This window comes from Homo sapiens, chromosome 3 (genome assembly GCF_000001405.40).
Source record: "Homo sapiens chromosome 3, GRCh38.p14 Primary Assembly".
NCBI lineage: Eukaryota > Metazoa > Chordata > Mammalia > Primates > Hominidae > Homo > Homo sapiens.
Window position 1 is genome coordinate 13,180,397 of NC_000003.12, and position 23,939 is coordinate 13,204,335.

General features: G+C 51.1%; 1 protein-coding gene across 6 annotated transcripts in view, besides 4 other annotated features; it reads right to left on the reverse strand.

The window, feature by feature from the left end:
* Positions 1-23,939, reverse strand: part of IQSEC1 (IQ motif and Sec7 domain ArfGEF 1) — a 386,215-nt gene that overhangs the window by 283,354 nt on the left and 78,922 nt on the right. The window lies entirely within an intron of this gene.
* Positions 12,659-13,265: an enhancer, noted in NCBI's record as "H3K27ac-H3K4me1 hESC enhancer chr3:13234555-13235161 (GRCh37/hg19 assembly coordinates)". NCBI's record gives its function as "activates a minimal SCP1, AML or CMV promoter by ChIP-STARR-seq in primed H9 embryonic stem cells {active_cell/tissue: H9 hESC(primed)}" and the evidence as "EXISTENCE:reporter gene assay evidence [ECO:0000049][PMID:30033119]".
* Positions 13,266-13,872: an enhancer, noted in NCBI's record as "H3K27ac-H3K4me1 hESC enhancer chr3:13235162-13235768 (GRCh37/hg19 assembly coordinates)". NCBI's record gives its function as "activates a minimal SCP1, AML or CMV promoter by ChIP-STARR-seq in primed H9 embryonic stem cells {active_cell/tissue: H9 hESC(primed)}" and the evidence as "EXISTENCE:reporter gene assay evidence [ECO:0000049][PMID:30033119]".
* Positions 17,385-18,005: an enhancer, noted in NCBI's record as "H3K4me1 hESC enhancer chr3:13239281-13239901 (GRCh37/hg19 assembly coordinates)". NCBI's record gives its function as "activates a minimal SCP1, AML or CMV promoter by ChIP-STARR-seq in naive H9 embryonic stem cells {active_cell/tissue: H9 hESC(naive)}" and the evidence as "EXISTENCE:reporter gene assay evidence [ECO:0000049][PMID:30033119]".
* Positions 18,566-19,112: an enhancer, noted in NCBI's record as "H3K27ac-H3K4me1 hESC enhancer chr3:13240462-13241008 (GRCh37/hg19 assembly coordinates)". NCBI's record gives its function as "activates a minimal SCP1, AML or CMV promoter by ChIP-STARR-seq in naive H9 embryonic stem cells {active_cell/tissue: H9 hESC(naive)}" and the evidence as "EXISTENCE:reporter gene assay evidence [ECO:0000049][PMID:30033119]".

Here is a 23,939-nt window from a genome sequence, read left to right on the forward strand (position 1 = left end):
GTGGGGACGTGGAGAACCTTTATGTCTAGCTCACGGATTATAAATACACCAATCAGCGCCCTGTCAAAACAGTCCACTCGGCTCTCTGTAAAACAGACCAATCAACAGGATGTGGGTGGGGCCAGATAAGAGAATAAAAGCAGGCTGCCCGAGCCAGCAGTGGCAACCCGCTGGGGTCCCCTTCCACACTGTGGAAGCTTTGTTCTTTCGCTCTTTGCAATAAATCTTGCTGCTGCTCACTCTTTGGGTCCACACTGCCTTTATGAGCTGTAACACTCACTGCGAAGGTCTGCAGCTTCACTCCTGAAGCCAGCGAGCTCACGAGCCCACCGGGAGGAACGAACAACTCCAGACGTGCCGCCTTAAGAGCTGTAACACTCATCGCAAAGGTCTGAAGCTTCACTCCTGAGCCAGCGAGACCACGAACCCACCAGAAGGAAGAAACTCCGAACACATTCGAACATCAGAAGGAACAAACTCCGGACATGCCACCTTTAAGACCTGTAACACTCACCACGAGGGTCCGCGGCTTCATTCTTGAAGTCAGTGAGACCAAGAACCCACCAATTCCGGACACAAAAATATATGAAGCAGGCTGGGCGCGGTGGCTCATGCCTGTAATCCTAACACTTTGGGAGGCTGAGGCGGGCGGATCATGAGGTCAGGAGATTCAGACCATCGTGGCTAACGCGGTGAAACCCCGTCTCTACTAAAAATACAAAAAATTAGCCGGGCGTGGTGGCGGGCGCCTGTAGTCCCAGCGACTCAGGAGGCTGAGGCAGGAGAATGGCGCAAACTCGGGAGGTGGAGCTTGCAGTGAGCCAAGATCACGCCACTGCACTCCAGACTGGGCGACAGAGCGAGACTCCGTCTCAAACAAACAAACAAACAAACAAACAAACAAAATATATGAAGCAAAAACTAGGACTGAAAGAAGAAATAAATCTACAAGTATGGCGACTTCAATAATTCCTTCTCAGTAATTGATGGAATAGAGAGAAAATCAGCAAAAATATAAAATACCTAAACAACACTGCCAACCAACATGACCTACAGACATATACAGAATACTCCACATGACACCAGAATATACACCCACCCACCCACTGATGCATGCATCCATACATCCCACAAACTACTGGGCATCTATTACAGGCCAGGCACTATACTAAGCAGAGATGTTTCAAGCCCATCAGTGAGTTTACAGTCTAGCCAGGTAGACAGACTTGTAGACAGATCATTTCTCCTACAGCATGGCTGGTGCCATGACACAGATGGAGGCAGAGAGAACAGCAGGGCCACAAAGGAGGAGGAAACCCAAATACCCAGCACCTAGCCCAGCAAAAGCCCTCAGCATATATCTGATGAATGAATTTGTTTTTTCTTTTGGATATGTTTTGAGTGACTTTAAAATGAAATCTATAATGGAATATTTTAAAATTATTTTTGAATATGTTTAAACATATTTTATTTAACTTGTTCATTGTCCATTTCCACCACCAGAATGTGACTTCCCCAAGAGCAGTGACTGCTCCTGTCTAGTTCACTGCTGTGCCCCAGGACCTACAGTGATGGCCAGTAAGCAGTAGGTGCTCAATAAACATTTATATGTTTAGTGAATGTATTTCTCTCTAAGTCCCATGACTTTGCCTATCATTTTCAGCCATTCTTGTTGCCTTGGAACTTATCAACCACTCATGGTCTGCAGAGCTACCTTTCAGAGATTTTGTAGGACTTACATTGGAATCCCCTCTAGTTCTCCCTCCTTCCATGCCATCATGGGCATGTATTGGCTTTGTTTGCCCAGCATCCATTCCCCATTTTCTGGTATCTATATCTGACAATTTGCTTTTGGCAAACCATCAGTCTGATGCTCCCATCTGTGAGCATCATCTGGGATTGAGCCTACTTCTCTGTTCAATGGGTGGACATGTAATTAATCCATTCTGGGCAATCACAGCCCCATACTCACGAGCCACAATGACTTGTCCAAGGATAATAATAATATTCATGGTAAAAATATTGTGTGTCAGGCACTGTTCTAATGGGTAAAAGGATTGCTACATCGATAGATGATGGCTATATGGATTATACCAGTGGATAAACGGGTGGCAATGGATAGATGAGTGGATGCATATAAAGATAAGTGGTGGATAATGAGTGGATAGATGGCTAGAGAGATGGGTGGGTGAATGGAAACCTAGGTGGAATATTCACCAACCAAGACCACATTCTGGGACAAAAAACAAACCTTAATAAATTTAAGAGAACTAGAAATTAGATAATCACTTCTAAATCTCCCCAGGTCAAAGAGGAAATCGCAAGGGAAATTCAAAAATATTTTGAATTAAATGAAAATATAACATATCAAAATATGTGAGCTGCAGCTAAAGCAGTACCTGAAAGAAATATTTATAGCATTAAATGATTTTATGAGAAAATAAGATCTCAAATAAAGATTCCACCCAAAGAAATTAGAAAAAGTAGGCCGGTCGCAGTGGCTCACGCCTGTAATCCCAGCAGTTTGGGAGGCCAAGGCAGGTGGATCACGAGGTCAGGAAATTGAGACCATCCTGGCTAACACAGTGAAACCCTGTCTCTACTAAAAATACAAAAAATTAGCCAGGCATGGTGGCATGCACCTGTAGTCCCAGCTACTCGGGAGGCTGAGGCAGGAGAATCACTTGAACCTGGGAGGCAGAGGCTGCAGTGAGCTGAGATCACACCACCACACTCCAGCCTGGGTGACAGAGCAAGACTCTGTCCCCACCAATAAATAAACAAACAAACAAACAAACAAACAAACAAACAAACATAAATAAATAAAAAAGAAATTAGAAAAAGAAAAGCAAATTAAATCCAAAGCAAGTAGAAAGGAGTAAATCATAAAAATAAGAGAAGAAATCCATATAATGAGTTTCTCATGCTGGTAATCCCAGCACTTTGGGAGCCCTCAGGCCAAGAGTTTGAGACCAGCCTGGCAAAATGGTGAAACCCTATCTCCATTAAAAATACAAAAATTAGCTGGGCATGGTGGTGCAGGCCTGTGGTCCCAGCTACTTGGGAGGCTGAGGCAGGAGAATTGCTTGAACCCGGGAGGCAGAGGTTGCAGTGAGCCAAGATCATACCACTGCACTCCAGCCTGGGCAACATAGCAAGATTCCATCTCAAACAAAAAAAAAGAAAAATGAAAAACCATATGAAAAATCAATTAGGCTAAATTGGAAGAAGTCAGTAAAATTGAGTACCCTCTAGACCAAGGGACAGCAAACTTTTTCTGTAAAGAGCTAGAAAGTAAATATTTTAATATTTAATGCAATTCTTGTGTTTTGTTTGTTTGTTTGGTTGGTTGTTAAACACTTGAAAACTGGACCCTTGCTTGGTTTTACCTGCAGGCTATAGTTTGCTGACCCATGCTCTACACAGACTGATCAATAAAAGAAGAGAAAAACATAGCCGACAAATAAGGAAAGAGCAAGGACAACTCTAGGTCCATCAGTTTGAACACTGAGATGACTTGAGCCAATTCCTCAAAAGATACAAACTGTCAAAGTTCACTCAAAAAGAAATAGATTAAAATAATAGTCCTATATCTATTCAAGAAATAGAATTTGTAGTTGAATCAAACAAATATTCTGATAAAGACAACTCCATGCTTATGAAATGGCTTCACTAGTGAATTCAAACAAGTGAAGAAGAGATAACACCAATTCTACACAAACTTTTCCAGAATATGAAGGGAGGAGTCACTTCCCAACTAATGTTATGATGTCAACATTACCCTGATACCCAAACTAGACAAAGACATAGCAAGAAAGAGAACTCCTGAGCAGTATCCCTCTGAACATGGATGCAAAAATCCTCAACAAAATGCTAGCAAATAAAATCCCACAATGAAGCTGGTCAGCATTGGAAAATTAACAAATGTAATTGACCATATCCACAAACTAAAGAAGAAAAATTACATGATCATGTCAACAGATGCAGAAAAAGCCTTGACAGTATTCAACACTGATTCATGATGAGAATTCTCTGCCCATCAGGAATAGAAGGAAATGTCCTCAGCCTGATAAAGGGATCTGCACAGACTTCCAGCTACCTTTATGGAGAAAGAATGGGTGTTTTCCCCTAAGATCGAGAACCGGGCCAGGACCTGCATTTTCCCACCCCTATCTAACGTCACCCCACAGGTCCTAACAAGTGTACTAGAGCAAGGCCAAGGAATAAAAGCCATACAGATTGGAAAAGAAGAACCAGAACTGTCTCCATGCACAAGCGACAGGATTCTCTCAGTAAACATCCCTAAGGATCTCCAGAAAAGCTGCTGGAACTGTTAAGTGTGCTTAGCGAGGTCACAGGATGCAAGCTGAGTGAACACAATTCCATCGTTTTCTATCTGCCAGCCATGGCCAGTTGGGAATTGAAGTGAAAAAGCAAGGGAGCGATAAACACAGACGCTAGTTCGGGAGTGTCTGGGTGTGGGGCGTCAGGGGACAGGATGGGGAAAAGGAGTGAGGCAGATAGATGGACCTTCCTTGGTAAAGCTCCAGTTCCCGAGTAGGGCCATGGGTCTAAAGCAGTTCCTACCTCCACACAGACAAACAGACAAGCAGGGAAAACCAGAGAGCAAGAGTCGGAGACCACAGATGCCAGGGGTTTCAGATTCGGGGGATCTGAGGGTTTCCCACTCCCACCCACGCAGACTGGGGCAGTTGTAAAGGTTCTGTGAGTGGCTTTTGGGCAGGGAAACTAGGAACAAATCCTGGTCCTGCTGTGACCTGCGGCCTGACCTTACGCAAGTGGCTTGACCTAAGACACCTCATCTGTCAATGGGAGTTGTCACCTCGTTCTTCCCCAGGCTGTTTAGAAGGCCAGCACCCACTATTCCGTCAGGTCTCCACTCAGAGGCTGCCTCCTCTGAGAAGTCTTTGCAACCTCCCCTGCCCTCCCTGGTCACACCTGTCCTATTGCCCCTTCTGTACCTAATGCTCTCCGAAGCTGTCTTGTTCCTTTGTCTACTTGTTTATTCTGTGCCTTGCTCCCTTGGACGTCAGCTTGTTCTCCACAGGGTCCTGTGCCTGGGACTGCGCCTGCTATATGGGAGCACCTCAGCAGATATTTCAGTGTGAAGGCATAAAGCGTGACAATGGCCAAAACAGCAGCTTGATTACTTCCACAAACACAGGCATCATTAACTATGGCAGACAGCCCATTCCAGGAGAGACAAACCCAAAGATAAAGGCTGGAACGTTGCTGTAGCTAGAAGGACTATGGGGAACCCGAGGTTCACAGAGGAAGGGGGTTGTCTAAGGTCACAGGATAGCAGAGATGGCATTAGATCCAAATGCTTTTTACACTGCATCCTAATCGCTGGAAAGCACTTTTGACACACCAGGAGATCCATTCTCCGAGGAGCCAGTGTCTGCAGAACTTCGGTGTGATCCATCCTGGATGCCACTGGCTGGCCCACTTTTCTGGGCATATTTCTCTTCATTCCTGTCCAGGGCAGAACTGCTGCAGGGCACCTGCCCAAGGTGGGCGGGTCCCATAGCAAATGCCCTTCAGAGAAGACAATGAGCAGTGGGCTTTGACGCCATGACTCACTTGGCTTGTAACCATCCTTAGCTGAGTTGGACACACTCAGCAGGATTTAAGGGAGGTGGTCAGCAAGTCTGCTTAGCACCAGTGGGAGTGAGTTCACTGCTGTTCTCGTCCCACATGGAGCAGGGGCAATCATTAAAGCTGCTGTCTATATCTATTACCCAACATAGGTAATTGAGGATCCTCAGCCACCCCACTGGAACGTCTGCTCCCTGAGGGCAGGGATGGGCCTGTCTCATTTGCTATTGGGTCCAGCACTGGGCCTGCCTCTGGGTGGAAGCTCTGTAAATATTCTGAAGCTTGCACTGGGAAGAGATCTTCTCTTAGACCATGAATTGTGATCAAGGAGGAAACAGTGACAGAATTTGTATAAACATGATCATTACCAGAGATGAAAAGTCTGACAAAAAGGGTGTTTATGACTGCTTAAAATACCCCACACCTGGAAAGAAGTCGGCTGGGAGTGGGAAAAGCTGGGGAATTGGACTCTCTGGTATTTTAAAGATTTGCCTACCTTGCAGTTACTTTAAAAAAAGAATCCTTAGCTTGGGTTGGTGCCGCCTGCCAGTCTGTGAGGACCGCCTACAGCTGCCTGAAAGCCACAGGCATGTTCCTATGCAGAGGCCCATCTGGAGATCTGGATGCACAGACGGGGCAGAGCTAGTTCAGGGTGAGTCCTTGGGTGGTCCCAAGGAGGAGGGGATGGCCAGACACGTGAACATGGTGGAATGCGGTTTCCTCCCTGAGGCACAGGGGCTGGGGCTCCCTGCACTGGACGGCGACCCTTTGGCAGACCCAGGCTCCGTCAGGGACTCAGGCTCAGCTGGAATGGTCTTACCTGGATCCTGCCCAGAAACCCCAGAGGAGGCATCCCACAGCCCAGGAGTAGAATCTAAAGGCCCTGAAGCCTTCGGATGAGGAAAGAGCACACTGTCTGCCCTTCCTCTCTTCCATGGCCCGCTCCTTACTTCCTTCCCTCCCTCCTTCCTTCCTGCCGCCTTTTCTTCCTTCTTCGTACTTTCAGTCCTTCCCCCTTCCTTCCTCTCCTTCCTTCCTCCTTTCTATCCCTCTTACTTTCTGCCCATCCATCCTTCTGCCCACTATGCATGTATCCACCCATCCACCCACACACCTGTCCAACCATTCATCGTCCTACCTCACAAACCCCTACTGAGTATCTACTATGGGTTAGGCACTATACTAAATGGAGATGCACCAAGCCCCTCAAGGAGCTTGCAGTCTAGCTGGATAGACAGTCTTGTACACAGATCACCTTTCCCACAGCACGGCTGATGCCATGATACAGATGGAAGCAGAGGAGGCAGCAGGGCCACAAAGGAGGGGTTGGCACTCCCAGGACCTAGCCCAGCAAAAGCCCTCAGCACAGCCCTAATTCTGATGAATGAGTTTGCTTAACTTGTTTTGAATGTGTTTTGAATATGACTTTAATATGAAGCCTATCATGGAATACAAATTTTTGAATTAATCTGAATATATTTACATATATTTTATTTAACTTGTTTATTGTCCCTCTCTCCCACTGGTATGGGGTTTCCATGAAAGCAGTGACTGCTCCTGTCTAGTTCACTGCTGTATCCCAGGACCTAGGGTGCTGGCCAGCACACAGTAGGTGCTCAATAAACATTTATACACTAAATAATAAACTTCTCTTCTGGGTCCTGACTATCTTAGTCCATTCATGCTGCTATAAAAATACCAGGGACTGGGTAGCTTATAAACAACAGAAACTGATTTTTCACAGTTCTGGGGGCTGGGAAGTCCAAGATCAAGGTGCCGCAGGCTCGGTGTCTGCTGAGGACCCACCTCCTTATGGAGAGCCACCTGCTCACTCTAACCTCCCATGGCAGAAAGGACAGGAGGCCTCTGTGTAACCTCTTTTATAAGGACACTAATCCTACTGAGGTGGTCTCCACCCAAGACCTGATCACCCCCCAGAGGCCCCATTTCCTGATATCATCACCTTGGGGGTGAGGATTTTGACACATGGATTCTGGGGGACACAGACATTCAGACCACTGACCTGCCTGGGCCTCCCATCTCCAGCCATTCTGTTTGCCTCAGAAGTTGCCAGCCACGCCTGGCCTGTGCATCTGCCTTTAGACCTCTGGTAGGACCTGAAACTGAGACTGCTTCTAGTTGTCCCTCCTTTCATGCCCTGTTGTGGGCATCTGTGGGCTTATCCTACCCCATTCCTATTCTCTGTCTTCTGAGAACTGTCTCCTGACCATTTTCCTCCAGGAACCACCTCCTGCTCATGCCCACCTCAAGGTTCACATGGAGCACAGCACCCTCCTCCACTCCAAGACAGCATGTGATCCCAGACCAGCTATCAGAGCCCTGCACTCCAAGCCACTGTGACCACTGCAGGGAGGATCACGGTAAGAGTCATAGTCAACATCAGATATGTGCCAGGCACTGTTGTATGAACTTTTCACTCATTAACTCTTTTAACCCTTACAACAAAGCCCAACAATATAGATGTGCTACTATAATCCTCATTTTACAGATGGGGAAACCAAGGCCCAGAAAGGTTAGGTGACTTATCCAAAGTCACACAGCTCTTACGAGGCAAACCCAGCTTTGAACCATGCTCACTGGCTCCAAAGTTCATGCTCTAAACTACCATGTGGGCAAAAGGCAAAGCCACACAAGTGAGAGTCAGTCTCCAGACTTGAGCTCAACCTACCGAGCTAGAAGTCCTCTTTCACCGCAGGCCTGGAGCTGTCAGACCACTGCAAGCCAAGAGGCTCCACAGGAAAAAGCCAACTAGAGGGAAGCAGAGCTGAGAGAGGGAAAGAGACAGAGCCAGGGTTGCAGCCCTTGGATCCAGCCATGCCTGAAGGTTGACCTGGATTGTTTGTTTTCATGGGCCCCAAATTCCTTCACCAGGATTTGAGTGGGCCCTTAAGTCCATTTTTGTTGGGATTGTTTCCACTCACTTCAAGCCTGGGACCCACACCTGGCAGCACCCCCTCAGGAGGAGTTTAGACTTTGAATCTTGGCCTCTGCCCAGTCTCTCTCACCTGTGTCCCAAATCTTTCCACCTGTCAGCCCAGGCTTCTCAGGGCAGGGCCAGAAGAGATGAGCAGCCCCTCCTATCAACAGGTAGGTTGGGAGAGCTGTGCTCTGTGACCCCACACTGCCAGGAAGGAACTTTGCAGCCACAGGCTCCCCACACTGCCAGCATCCTTCCTGTGCCCATGACATTGGCTCCCTCTGGGCTAAGGACCTCTGACCCAGTTTCTTCTGCAGCCCTACAGCATAGCCCTGGTTTGGGAACTGGTTACCAGCCCAGGGAATGCTGACCCAGCCCTGGGGTGAACCCCAATCCCCATTCATCCCCAGCTGACGGTTGAGGTCCTGCTCCAAGCTAATAAGCCAACACCTGCCCTCCTCCCCAGATGCCCTGGGCAGCAGGGTTCTGAGGCCTTGACCCTCCACACCTGCCTGCCAGGACCCTCCTCCTGACTACATCTCTCATTCCATTCTTCTCCTTTGCCAGAACAAGTCCTCCAAAGACTTCCCCAGAGGCAACCCCACAAGCTTCTCCCCTGCACCCACTACAAGTGACAGCAGAACATAAGTCTCAGAGGAAAACTGAACTGCATTCCCTTCTTACTGGCATGTGCAGCTGGCCCAGTGCCCCCAGCCCTGATCACGAGGCTTGCCCAGCACCAGCTCCACCCCTGAGCTTCCTGCCTCGCCACTCTACCCTGCTGTTCCCTCTGCCTGCAAGGCTCTTCCCCCAGGTCCTCCTGTTCCCCCAGGTCTCAGCTCAAAGGCCACCACCTCAGTGGGCCTTCCCTGAGACCCATGTGAGCTGTCCCCACACCCCAGCTGATCTCTGCTCATCTGTGACTCATCTAGGCCAGTTGCTGGGGCCCTCATCCTGTTGCTGACATGCAATCCTTTCATGTCAGTTCCTTCCTCCCTGACCCTCCCAGAGCCGTCATGCCTGGAGAGCCAGCTCTGAAGCTGCCCAAGCAGCTCATGGCCCCACCGCCCTGACCACCTGGGTCTGGTACCTGCCACAGCTGCCTAAATAGAGTTCCAGCAGTTTCCCAGACTCTCACCTCAGTGCAAACTGGACTCCAGTGTCCAAGGTTCTTATCTTCCTGCCTGAACAGCCTGTCTGGGTCCAAGAACCCTCCCCCCAACCCCAGACCACAGCCTGCAGGAAGGAACCCCAAGGCACTGAGGGGAAAAGCCATTTCCACTTCCAGTTCTGGTCCAGACCCTCTTAGGCGGCGGATGCTCCATGAGTGCGAGTGGGGCCCGGCTCCTGGCTCACGCCCGAAATCCCAACACTTTGGGAGGCCAAGGTGGGAGGATCTCCTGATCCCAGGGGTTCGAGACTGGGTTGAGAGCAAAACCTCATCTCTATACAAAATAAAATAAAAAAAATTAGCCAGGCATGGTCCCAGCTACTCGGGAAGCTGAGATGGGAGAATCTCCTGAGCCCAGGAGGTCAAGGCTGCAGTGAGTTGTGATTGTGCCACTGTACTCCAGCCTGGGTGACAGAGCAAGACCCTGTCTCAAAAAAAAAAAACAGATAAAGTGTGGCCTTGACCTCCCTGTAACACAAACTACTCTTCCTCCTACCAGCCATGGCAGTGTCTACGAAGGATGGAATGACACTGTCTGATCATTCATGCCATTGTTGTTTTAGTAGCCAGAGAATACAGGCTTTTCATGGACTACAGCAAAAATAAGCCATTCTTTTCTAAATTGTCTACATACATAAACACTGTAAGTTGCTTGAGAGTAAGCCGTAAGTTAAAGGAGAGTACAGGTAAATACACTGAAAGGAGAAAAGTCCCAGAGCAGTCCCCAAATGGGAGGAGGGCTCTCTCCCTACCCCTCTGCCTCACTAAATCCCTGACTCCAGGCCCCTGACACAGACATTTCCAGCCCCTTCTCTACTGTACCCTAGTGCAGGCCCAGGAGGGCGACAGCAAACTGATGCCTCCGACAGCACCCCTCCTCCTGCCCCCAACACACCCCTTGCCATGGCCGTCCTGTGGGCAGGACATACCCCGGTTCAGCATAACCTAATTCTATCTTCAGGCCACAGAAGAATGCCTGTCACCCCATGTTTTACATTCAGCCGTGGATCCTCCCTCGATTTGACACTAAGACGTGGGGCTTCAGGTTGGCCTGGACACAGAAGCCTGACAGTCTGTGCCTGGTGCTCCCTGGCACCACTAAACTCATCTTTCTGCATCCTCGCTGGGCTGTCCGCCCGATTCCTCACAGACTGCAACCCAGACCTCTCCAGAGCTGGGCACAGGCTGGGCATCTTCCTCATGCTGCCATAGCTATCTTCGTCGTATTCACTTATTTTGTTTTCTGTGAACCCCAGGGAAAACCACAGCCGTGTTTCGGGCACTGCCTCCACCAGGACTCGTGAGCACATGTGTATTTCCAGCCTGCAGCTCCCAGTCCCCACACCCAGCTAATTTTTTTTTTTTTTTTTTTTTTTTTTTTTTTGTATTTTTAGTAGAGACAGGGTTTTGCCATGTTGCCGAGGCTGGCCTCGAACTCCTGGCCTCAAGTGATCCACCTGCCTCTGCCTCTCAAAGTGCTGGGATTACAGGCAATTACAGTTTGCATGTGGCCCAAAACTGGTTTTTTATCTTTTTATTCTTATTTCTTAGATAAGAAAGAAACTTTTAAAGACATGTCCTGGGTTGTCTTTTGGGGTAAATTTCTCAGCACTAGCTTTAAAGCTACTATGTCCTCTTTGATAATTTCCTTCGCTTGACCATCTGTGGAGGTTTTGCAGTCCTTCTTTCCATGACAGTGTTCTTACTTTGTAGCCTGGCTCACTGGTCCTTCTTCATGCCTCCCTGTCCTTGTCCCATGGATGTTTTCATTTCATGACAAATAGATGAATATTTGATGAATATTGTGCCCTGTATCCTCTTAAGGAGTTCAGTTATGGGTTCCATGGTGTCCCCCTCTTCATAATAAATATGTTGAAGTTCTAGCCTCCAGTACCTCATGCCATGTTCTGATTAGAAAGTAGGGCTATTGGCTGGGCACGGTGGCTCACGCCTGTAATCCCAGCACTTTGGGAGGCCGAGGCGGGCGGATCACGAGGTCAGGAGATCGAGACCATCCTGGCTAACACGGTGGAACCCCGTCTCTACTAAAAATACAAAAAGAAATTAGCCAGGCATGGTGGCGGGCGCCTGTAGTCCCAGCTACTCAGGAGGCTGAGGCAGGAAAATGGCGTGACCCCGGGAGGCGGAGCTTGCAGTGAGTCGAGATCGCACCACTGCACTCCAGCCTGGGCAACAGAGCGAGACTCTGTCTCAAAAAAAAAAAAAAAAAGAAAAGAAAAGAAAGCAGGGCTATTGCAGATGTCTTAGGTAAGATGTGGCACACTGGAGTAGGGGTCCCCCAGTCCAATATGCCTGCTGTCTATAACGCGAGGGAAGTTTGGACAGAGATGCACGCAGGGACGGACGACGTGAAGATGCAGGAAGACAGCCCTGCGGAGGTGGAGGTGGAGACAGGAGGGAAGCAGGTATAGGCAGGAAGCGCCAGGACCACCTGCCGTCCCCAGAGGCTGGGAGAGAGGCCAGGTGAGTATTCTCCCTCGGGGCCCCAAGAGGACTCACCCTGCATTCAGACCACCAGCCTGCGGGGGCAGTGAGAGGTTTCACAGCTCTGTGGCTGGGAGCCACCCACTTTGTTATGGAGGCCCCCGACACAGTCCCAAACTCCACTTCTTGTGTAGACATTTCCCACAGGCCCTGTGTGTCCACCTGGCTGGGCTCCTCTCCCACGTAGGGCTTGCTGGGGCCCTGCTCAGTGTCAGCTCTGGAGTTCTGCTTTGCAGATTCACCTTGAGGGGGAGCATTTGCCTCACCCCTGCTCCCAGCAGCAACACCTCCCCTGAGGCCTGAGTGCAGAACCAGAGTGAGGCCTCACGCTGGCATCCAGGACCTCTGTTCCCAGTGACAGCAACAGGGGCCATCTCTGGGCAGTGGGCGAAGGTCCAGTCCTGGCCATGTAGCTGCATGCAGTGCATCCTCCAGCCCCTAGTGGCCAGACAGGAACCCAGTTGCAGCAGGGATGGGCAGTGTCTTTTCTCAGCCTTGTCCTACGAGCACAGGATGCCCACCTGCCCGGGGCTCACACACAGAGCCTGCCCCATTCCCCGGACTCTCATGGGCATCTCTGCTCCCTGTCGCCCACCAGCTCCCTCTCTGCCTGTGAGTGTGGAGTTCAACAGATCCACAGCTTCAGCCCCACTGATGACTGCGCTTCTGAGCCATTTCCGGCCTGTGGCAATGTCTTTTACATTCTGAATACATATTTGGGGGTGGGAGGTCTGAAATCCACCAGTGAGTTTTAAACTAGGAAGGTAAAGATCAGAGGTGGCTTGGAAAGAGCTCTCTGGCTACAGAGTGGTGACCACAGGAAGGGGAGCACGCTGGGGGATGAAGGATGTGGACGGTCGGGTGGTGACTGGGAACAAGGCACAGAGGGGACGAAGAGGAGTGCCAGCCCAGGCCGCCAGGGTGACAGGAAGAAAGGGAGGGGAACAGAAGGTGCAGTTTAGGGGGTGAGGAGAGAAGTATCATGAGTTCAGTTTGGGGTGTGCCAAGCTTAGGGGTCTAGAACACTTAAGATGCGGGAAAGAGGCAGTTGGAGACCAAAGGCTGATGTCAGAGCTTAAGCCTCCCTCCTCCAACGGGCTCTCCCTGGACACATGCTGTGCTGGACGCTGTCCCACTTCCCCCGGCCCCACACCCTCCTGCCTGCACCTGCTCACACCCAGACCTGGCCTGTGTGACTCCACCAGCGGCCAGCAGCTTCCAGTGTCCATCAGTCAACCGGGCTGACAAGGACCATGCCCTGGGGCTTCGGCCACAGACCAAGCTTGGTTTCCTCACAGCTCTGGAGCCTGGAATTCGGAAAGCAAGGCTTTGGTTGGCAAGGGTGGTTTCTCTGGCAGCCTCTCTCCCTCCTTGGCTGGCCGACAGCCCCCTTTCCTGAGTCTCTGCATGGTCTTCCCTCTGTGTGTGTCTGTGACCTAATCCCCTCTTCCTAAGAGGACACCAGTCAGATTGGATTAGGGCCACCACCACGAGCTCATTTCCCCTTAATCACCTCTGTAAAGGCCCTGTCTCCTCATCCCGTTCTAAGGTTATGGGGGTTAGGGCTTCAGCCTATGAATTTGGGGGTGTGTAACTCAGCCGGGAGCAGTTGGAATGAGTCAGTGGGGGGTGCCAGCAGAGGCAGGGGAGGTTGGGGTGCTCACTCCGCAGCTGCCTCCCGGCTGGGCTGCAGGTTTATTCCCGTGTTTCTTGACCTACAGCAGAAGCCAGTGTGAGGCAGCCTCTCCTATGCTCTGACTCTCACTGGGCTCTGGGGACACCGCCTGTCCCCTGTCCCTCAGGTGCCGGGAGTGCCTCCTCCCAGCGTGCCAGGCCAGGCACTGCCCACCGCTCTGTGATTCCTAAAACTTCCCTCGCAGGGCCAGCTGCTTCCTGTCAAGGCGCCCCAACTCGCTTTCCACCCCCCTTCTCAGAGCTGCTTTCTACAAGCATGTAGTTAACATGTAAGGCCCACCACAAACCTATGATCCGAGTTGGAGGGTGCCCACCCAGAAACCCCAGAGGAGACCCCTCGAGGTAGACTGTATTTTCCAAAGACTGAGAGGCGAGGTCCGTGCTTCCTCCTTTGAATCTGGCAGGCCTTCCTAACAGACCTGACCCGCAGAACAAACAGGGAATTACGGCACCGAGGGACCTCCAGGCTCAGACATCCGCAGGCAATACGAGCAAACTCCAGCCTCAACCTCAGACCCTAACCCAAAGTGGATCATCGGCTTAAATGGAAAATGTCAATCCACAAAACCTTTAGAAAAATACATAGGAAAAAAACCCAGACCTAGCCTGAGGCAAAGAGTTCATAGACTTGACCCCAAACCCACAATCCACACAAAGAAAAAGCAGGAAGTTGGACCTCAGCAAAATTGTAAAATGTTTGCTCTGTGAGAGATACTGTCAAGAGGACGATAAGGCATGCTACTGACTGGGGAGAATGTTACAAATCCCACATCTGACAAACGAGTAGTATCTAGAATATAAAAAATGTTCAAAATTGAACAGTAAAACACCAAACAATCCAGTTAGAAAATGGGCAAAAGACACAAACAAACACTTTATAAGATACACAGATGGCAAATAAGCAGATGAAACGGTTCAATGATGTTAGCCTTGTAAGACACGCAGAAAATGCAAGATGAGATGCCACTGCATGCCTACCGTGATGACTGAAACAAGAAAGAGTGGTGACACCAGAGGCCGGAGAGGATACAGAGAAACTAGATCACTCAGGCACTGCTGGTGGGAAGATAAAATGGTACAGCCTCCGTGGCAAACAGTTTGGCAGTTTCTTATAAAACTAAACATGCAATTACCATATGACCCAGTAACTGTACTCAAATGCACTTAAAAAGCAAACTGTGGCGAATCCAATTCATGGAACACTATTCGGCAATCAAAAAGAATGAATTATGGATACACACGACAGCTTGGACAGAAGCCAAGGACATTTACACAGAGTGAAGAAAGCCAATCTCAAAAGGTTACACACTGCATGATTCCACAGAGACAACATTCTTGCAATGACAAAATTACAGAAATGGGGTTGTGCAGGGAAGTGGATGTGGCTGTCAAAGGGCAACATGAGGGGTTCCTGTGGTCCTGAAACCGTTCTGCATCTTGACGGTGGTGGTGGGCACGACAAAACTGCATAATCCTAAATATACCCACAAATGAGTACAAATAAAACTGGGCAATGTGGATAAGATGGGGGGATGGTATCAGTATCAATAATACTTCTAGCTGGCATATTAGACTGTGGTTTTGTAAAATGTTACCATTGGAGGAAACTGGGTGGAGGGGACGTGGGTCTGTCTGTATTATTTCTTATGACTACATGTGAATCTACAATGGTCTCTGAATAGAAGGTTACTTTTTTAAAAAATTACTAAGAGTTTCGGTTTTTTACAAAAGAGGCAATACAGCTCCCATCTGGTGCTTTTGTCCCCTCCCTCTTCTCTTTCTCTCTTTCTCTGGGGACACTCACGCTTTGAACCCAGCCACCATGCTGTGAGGAAGCCCAGTTTACGTGGGGAAGCCTGGGAGGGGGTGCCAGCCCATAGTCTCAGCTAGGTCCCAAGAGGATGCCAACATCGACCGAGACACGTTAGTGACAGAGCCTTCAGGTGACCCCAGCCCAGCCATCCAGGCACCTGAAGCCTCTGAGTCTTCTTCCAGCTGGTGCCGCAGACGTTGTGGAGCAGAGGCAAGCCATCCTGACCTCAGAGACAAGGAAAGGTAACGCATGAAGCCTGCTGTTCTACACCACTAAGGTTTGGCAAGCTTTGTTCCCCAAGGTGCACATTTCCTTCCTCCTCAACCGAGGGCTCAATGTGGCTTCCTTCCTGAGCGCCTCTGAGACAGGCTCCTGTCACTGCAGCATTTCCCAGGCTGCTTGCCCTGCACGTCTGGCTGTCACTCAGCCCCATCTCCTGGAGAACAGGCCACAGGGAGGGCTGCGTGAGCAGCCTGCCAAGTCTCCCTGCTTCTTTCCCAATGAGAAGAACACACGTTTCTGATTCCCTTTGCAAATGAAAGGTAAATCTTTCAGTGAATGAATAATGAATATCCCTGGCATGCGCGTGCGTGTGTATGTACATGTGTGTGCGTGTGTGTGTGTGTGTGTGTGTGTGTGTGTGTGTGTGTGTGGTGGGGAGCAGGCTGGAGAGCCCATCCCAGGAAGTCCAGAAAGAAGCAGCCGCAGGGGCTCTATTCCTTGTCTCTCAGGCCACACAGGCTTGTCCCAAGTCAGGGGGAGCAGGAGAGTCTGTGGGATCCGGGTGGGGGTGTCACCGGGCAGCAGACCCAGCTCAGAGGCAGGAAGGGTGTTCTCTGAGGCAGGATGCGTAGGGAGAGTTGAGGAGGGCTGCAGTTAAGACCCTTGCCACGACACTGCCTCCACCTGGAGGCCCCTGTGCCCTGGGACACTGTGGACCATAGACCAAGACAGCAAGGACATCAAAGGCTACCTCCTCTTGGGACTGTGTAGCTTTGTCTGCCTCTCCAGGAGCCTGAAGACATCTGAACAGATATCCCCTACGGAAGGTCAGGGATGCACATGAACCATGTCTTCCTTCACTTGAACGGGAAACGCTTGCTCCCTGCACACATTTTTTAAAAATCAACATTTGCAGCCCCCAAGCGCCCACAACAGCGGGAAAGAGGCATCTTCATAAACGGCAGATGCATGGCCAGGGGCGCTGGAGGGTGGGGTGCTCCCTGCCCCACTGGGGCTGAGCTGGACAGGCACTGAGTTCCCAGCCTGGCAGACAGGACGTGCTGGTGCCCGGCCCCATCCTGAAGTGTCCCAGCAGCCAACACTCATCACCAGGCCAGCTGCAGGGCAGGCCACTCTCCACAAGGCTACAGGGACTGGGGGCCTCAAATGTCCCCCACAGGCTGCATAATGACCAGGGCCCCTACGACCAAGCTGCCCGCCCTATTCAGCAGCATCTTGACAGAGTCCAGACCCAGGCCCTGATAACTTCACGGCCGCATGCAGTAGTCGCTAGTCAGCATCCCACCTTACGACCAGCAGAGTGGTTCAGGGAGGTGCACAGGCCAGGCATGGGTGGGGCATCAACATTGCAAGCTGGTAGGGAAGTGTGCCCCGTTCACAGGTGGGCACACTGAGGTCCAGAGAGGCCAAGGAAGATAGTCAAGGCCGAATTAGGCTTTAGTACAGGCTGGACATGAGCTAGGTGGGAGCGAGTCCCCCAGCCAGCGGGAAGAAAAACCCTGGTCTTGGAGGGCCTGAGTGGCCTGCCCAAGGCTGCCCAGCAGGAGCGGAGCGTGGTGCCCGCGGCTTGGATGTGTGTGCACAGCGTGCACCCGGCCTCCCGAGGCCTCTCTGTGGAGAGGACTATGCCCTGTGGCCCCGGGGCAGGGCTTAGACTCTGTGGGCACGCAGGGTCTGAAAGGACAGAGATGATGACCCTTGCCTGGAGGAGAATTGTGTGAAGAGGTGCTGAGCTCAGGCCACGTGGCCTGTTTTCTCTAATTCTAACAATTTCTGCTCATGCCCCACAGAGGACCCCTATAATTTAGTCCTACGGTCAACAAGCTCATCCAGACATTAAAAGGTAATTTACTTTCTGCTTCTCCTGCTTGTTATGGCCCATTTGTGGGCTTTTTTCTCCCAAAAGCATAAGCCTTGCAACCATGTAAACACAAAATATTTAAAGAGTAATTCTGAAGCTTGGGATGGCCGTGGGCTGTCCCCCTGGAGGTTCTGGGTGGCTCATCTGAAGAGTGCATACCGCGCCTAGAGATCCAGTCTGAGAACTCACCAACCAGGGTAGGCGGGGGGCAGGAAGGGGCTCCACCCAGAGTGAGATGCAGATTTCACGCAGCTCAGCTCCTAGGCGGTGATGACCGCTGGAATGTCCTGCCACCACCAAGAGTCCTGTGCATGACACTCTGGGTGGCACAGGGAAATGCACATGTTCTGAGTTTGGCTTGGTGGTGACCTACAGCCGGGATCATACCACAGCCAACTGCCTTTGAATTCCAGCTCTCATGCCGGCTGGCTGCGTCCTCTTACACACCATGTGACCATGGGCAAGGCACTGCCATGTCTTAGCCTGTGTTTCTCCACCACAAGAAGAGGCTAAGCCTCCACCCAAAGCACCCAACACAGCAAGGCACGTGGGAGCTGAAGCCAGTGCCTGCTGGAGCTCATGCCCTTGGAGTGAGGAGTTATTATTCTGCTGAAGAAAAGCAGAATCCCACACTTTCTGTTCCTGGGAAAGAAAAAGCCTGCTGAGGAGAAATGCCCAGGACGGAATACACCAGAGTGACCATGGCTGGGCTTGGGAGGCTGCCGGGCGAGTGTTTAGCCTGTATTTTCCAAGCTCTCTGTAATGTTTTAACTTGCTTCCATAATGAAAACCCATGCACATAAAGGGTGTGGTCAGTCACTCCTGCATTCAGCCACATGCATGGCACGGCGGGGGTGCGAGGGGACGGGGGAGCTGGTGGGGCAGGCGACACAACATGGCAGTGAAAAAGTAAGACCAGCCTCACATCAGAGAGAGCTCTCAGCCCGGAGGAGGCACTGGCCAGGCTTAGGATGGAAGAGAGCTGGGGCAGTGAGAAGGCTTTGTGGAGGTGGCCGCACCTGGCCCCTTCTCTAGGAGCCAACACATTTGACGCAGTCCTGGTTGACAGCTTGGGCTGGGGACTCTGGCTCCAATTGTTGTGACTGAGAAAATGGGCGTGGGCCAAACCTCCACCCCAAAGCTCCTAGGGCACCCCCTGGGACAGGGGCCGTCCAGGGACATCTGTGCAGAGCAGCAGCCCCTTTCCAAGCTGGGCAGCTCGCACAGGACTGTGTGGACATTGCCTCAAATCCTCCCCACAGCCCAGCTCTGAGCAGCACCGGTGTCCCTGCCTGCCACTCCCCACTTGCTGTGCTGTGGTCGCCCCTCCGCTCCTTCCCACCGACCAAGGCCAGCCCCGCGACCCTCCTTCAGTGTACTTTTCAGGTCCTGTGCAGCGACTGGCCCCATATAGGCTTCCTGCGCCACGGCCTGGAGTGGCCCCTGAGGCCCTTAGGAACCTGCTCGCCCACGAGGACACCCTGCCCCCATCTGAGTCCTCCGTGGCTGTCCCCGGACGTGAGGATGCCCTTCCCTCTGCTCCAGGCAAATGCTGCCAGGACCCCTGCAAGCAGCTGGGACAGGGTGGAGAAGCAGCCCCCGCAAGGGAAACCAGCACACCACACACATATGCCACACACACACACCACACACACACACAACAAACAGATACACCACACACCACGCACGTCACACACACACACACACCATACACACATACACATACACCACACCACATACATATGCCACACATGCACACACCACACACACACGCCACATGTACATCACACACACCACACACTACACACGCACACACACCACACACATACACACAACATGCATATACACAACATGCGCGCGCACGCACACACACATACACCACAGACTACTCACATATGCCACATGCACACACACCAAACACACATACACACACATACAACACACACATACACAAACACATCACACACTATATGCATACACCAGACGTGCACACAAACACACCCACATACAACACACACACACACACACACCACACACACATACTCCCCCCCCTTATCATTTATAAGCAGTTACTGAGTTGTTTCAACTATGAGCAAACCATGACCGGGGAAGACTGGAAGAAAATTCTCCACCGTGTCCCCTCACTGACTTCGACTTGAGCGGCCTCTCCAGACTCATGTTTCTCTTTCTGCTTCCTCAGACTTTCTAGATCAGAAACAACGATCACATCTGTAACCAACAACAACCTGAAAAGGGGACTTCCATAAAAATCCAGGGCTGGATCCCTTTCCAGATAACGAGGTTGAGAAGGTGAACTGAGCGCCCCAGGTCAGGGTGAACGCCTGGCAGGGAAGTGCACCTGACTCCTGACGGACAGGCAGCTGAAAGGCCAAGAGAGTGGGGAAGAACGGCTGCTAGCCCCTGCTCTCCAGGCTGGGCTGCTTTCCGGAAGATGGCACAGCAGGGAGGGCGAGCAAGCTGGCCCAGCATGAACACCTTACATTTCACACACATGTTGCACTGTTTCATCAGCTCTTGATCAGTTACTGCCTTGCTGTTTTGACTCTGGGCGAGTCACTAAACCTCTCTGTGCTTCCTTGTTCTCATTTCTAAGTTAGAAATGATAATTTCTTGGGACGATCCAATGAGATCACAGGCATAGAAGGGTGAGTTAACAGTGGAAAGCCGTAACATGCACCTGGAAACAGAAGTATCAGCAAGATGGGGAAATCGAGCCAAGACCCCATTCCTAGTCCCTGAGCCCTGCCTCACTGCACAGCTTCAATGACAAGCAGCTGCATTCGACTCACTTTTGGGGGCACTGCCTGTGAGTTATGCCATTTACTCCGCACAACAAATGCGTGAGGTGAGTCTCACTCTTCCATCTGCAGCAGGGGGAGCTGGTGGTCCTCAAAGAAACAGAAGTCGGCTCCCTCAAGGCCACATGGCCAGGAAGGACGGTGACCGGAGCTCAGACTCCAAGCTCCCAACCTTCCCTCTGTACCCACCAGTTCCCCTGTGCCCTTGTGTGCTGTTTCCAAGCTGGGCAGGAGTCCTGGGGAGGAGACATTGGGAAAGGCTGATTTAACATTTCTTTCTTCTTTTTTAGAGACAGGTCTCACTCTTTCACCCAGGCTGGAGTGCAGTAATGCGATCATAGCTCACTGCAGCCTCGAACTCCTGGGCTCCAGTGATCCTCCCACCTCAGCCACCTGACTAGCTGGAACTATAGTTGCATACCACCAGGCCCAGCTAATTTTATTTATTTATTTATTTATTTTTGGTAGAGATGAGGTCTTGCTATGTTGCTCAGGCTGGTCTCGAACTCCCAGCCTCAAGCAATCCTCCTGCCTCGGCCACCCAAAGTGCTGGGATTATGGGCCTTAGCCACCGTGCCCAGACTGCTTTAAGATTTCATATGCAAAGAGTAGACCCACGGGGTCACAGGCATGGCCACAACAGCCAGTATCCTGGAGAGAAGCACTACATTTTCCCCCATGATTCAAGACCAAAGCTTTGTCCAGAGGGGAAACAGCATTTTCATTTCCAGGATTCCAATACACAGAAATCACAGCCATTAATTTAGCCTCAATGCCATGCATCTGTGTTGCTGAGAGAGTTCATTTATAGTCATAAACCTTGTGGCTTTTTGGATAGCTTTGTTACATCAAAATCCTGCTAGTTAGGACAAATGGGAAAATAATGTGGGGAAAATTATTATGGAGTACTTTAAAAGAAATACTACATTATTTTCCAATCCACAGTGACACTCCAGCCAACTGCAGCCGCTGCCAAGAGGAGTCTTGCTTCAGTGATCAGACGTTGTCTCTATCCACTCATTCTACCACGTGCAAAAGTCTGTGCTGGCACCTCAGACCCATTAGGATGGCTCCTATCAAAAAACAGATGCTAACAATTGTTGCAAGGATGTGAAGAAATTGGAATCCTTGTGTACTGGTGATGGTAATGAAAAATGGTGCCACTGTTATAAAACCAGTATGGTGGTTCCTCAAAAAATTAAGCACAGAATTAATGCATGATCCAGCAACCCCTCTTCTGGGTATATATAGGAAAGAAACGAAAGTTGGGTCTCAAAAAGATCTTTGTACATCCACATGAATAGCAGCATTACTCAAAACAGCTACAGTGTGGAAGCAACCCAAGTGACCATCGATGGAGGAATAAACAGAATGTGGTGCACCCATCCTTATAGTCAGCCTTAAAAAGGAAGGAAATTCAACATGGATGAACCTTGAGGACGTTACTCTAGGTGACATAAGCCAGTCACAAAAAAATAAATACTGTGTGACTGCCCCTAGATGAGGTCCCTGGAGTAGTCAAACTCATGGAGACAGAAAGTGGAATGGTGGGTGCCTGGGGCTGGGGGAGGAGGCATAGGGAGTCAGTGTTTCATGGGGACAGAGTTTCAGTGTGGGAAAATGAAAAGTTCTGGAGATAGATGATAGTGACGGTTGTATGACAATATGAATGTACTAATACCCCTGAACCGTACACTCAAAGATGGTTACGATGGTCAATTTTATGTTATCTGCATTGCACCACGATAAAAAAAGCCTGTGCTGGACCCCTACTGTGAGGGCTGGAAAGAGTCATATCACACTGTTAATGTCCTTTACGCGTGATCAGTGTGCCGGGCGCCATTCTGAGCATGCTACATGCAGCACCTTGTGTGTTCCCCACAGTGCCCTGTAAGTTGTGTGCTCTGGTTGTGCCCATTCACAGATGGCCCTCTGCCTGGCTCTGTGTCCTAGGAGGCTGACCTCCACATAGTGCGTCACCCAGCTCCGCTGCTCTCTTGGCTGACTCTTTGAGCCAACACAAGGCACGAGCAGGAGGTGGGAAGGACGGAGGAGAGGCCAGGGTATTCATTCCTGCTGCTCATTCGGTTCCATTACCACTACTACACACACACACACACACACACACACACACTCTTATGCTCACACATGCACACACACACATACATGCACACACACACAACTCACCCACACAGGCACACAGACCACAGGTGCTGCCCCTGCAGCTGAGGCGTAGCAAGGGCTCCCACTGCCACTAGTTCTTGGAAGCTGCACGGCCCTTGTTGGTTTTCTTCACCTCGCACAACTCTGGAAGTTGTCCCTTTGTTAAACTGCGCTCCTCAGTTCCCCAGAACCCCATAGCCCATCTCTCTGCCCACATGCACAGGACAAATTCCTGTAGTGGGCACCCCCAGATTCCAGAGACTCCCAAGCCTGTCCTGGTGATGCCCCTGCCCCAGGCCCGTGGCAGGAACAGGAGGTCTGCAGGGTGCCCGGGACACAGGAAACACACCGGAGAGGCAAGGAGTGGCTGCTCCACGAATCAGCAAACCCCACCAGCAGCCGAAACACTGCGCTTGCAGTACCCTTAGTCACACGCGCACAGAGAGGACGTGGTGGGTCTCAAAGCAAGTCAGGGAGCCCTGTGCTGGCAAATGATGGGCAGATAACCACTGGTGGAAGAGACTGACAGCCCCTGCCCATCAGCCAGACTGAGTCACATGGCCCCATGTCCAAGAATTCATCCTTCCCTCCCTGCTTCCTCTCATGGTTCCTCACATTTACTGAGCACCTAACACGTGCGGGGCCCTGAGCGTGCCAGTGAACAGACGGAGGCTTGGGCAGGGGTATGTGGGGCCTGGCAGACCCCGTCCCAGGCTGGGACTCGGCTTTCCTGCCCTAGGCCCCTGGCCTGTCTCCAAGTGAGCCAAAGGTAGAACTGGGCTCAGAATGTCCCCAGCTCCCCTTCCCCCCGCCCATCTGTGAACCCCCTCCAGGGTGGGGCTGTCCGGCCTTCAGAAGGGAGGACGCAGGCACTCTACACCTTCATGGGCCGCAGGGGTAACTCTCCACCGGGCAGGGAAGACGCCAAGCCCAGGGAGAGCTGCGGAGAGCTGCGGAGAGCTGGGGCCCCGCGTGCAGCCTCACACCCGCCCGCCGCCTCCACGTGCGACTGTCATCGAGGAAAACCTCAGTGAGCAGCGCGGGCGCCAGCGCCAGGACGGGGGTGGATTCAAATGAGCGCTGGTGCCCACTGACTCCCCCGATGATCCCAG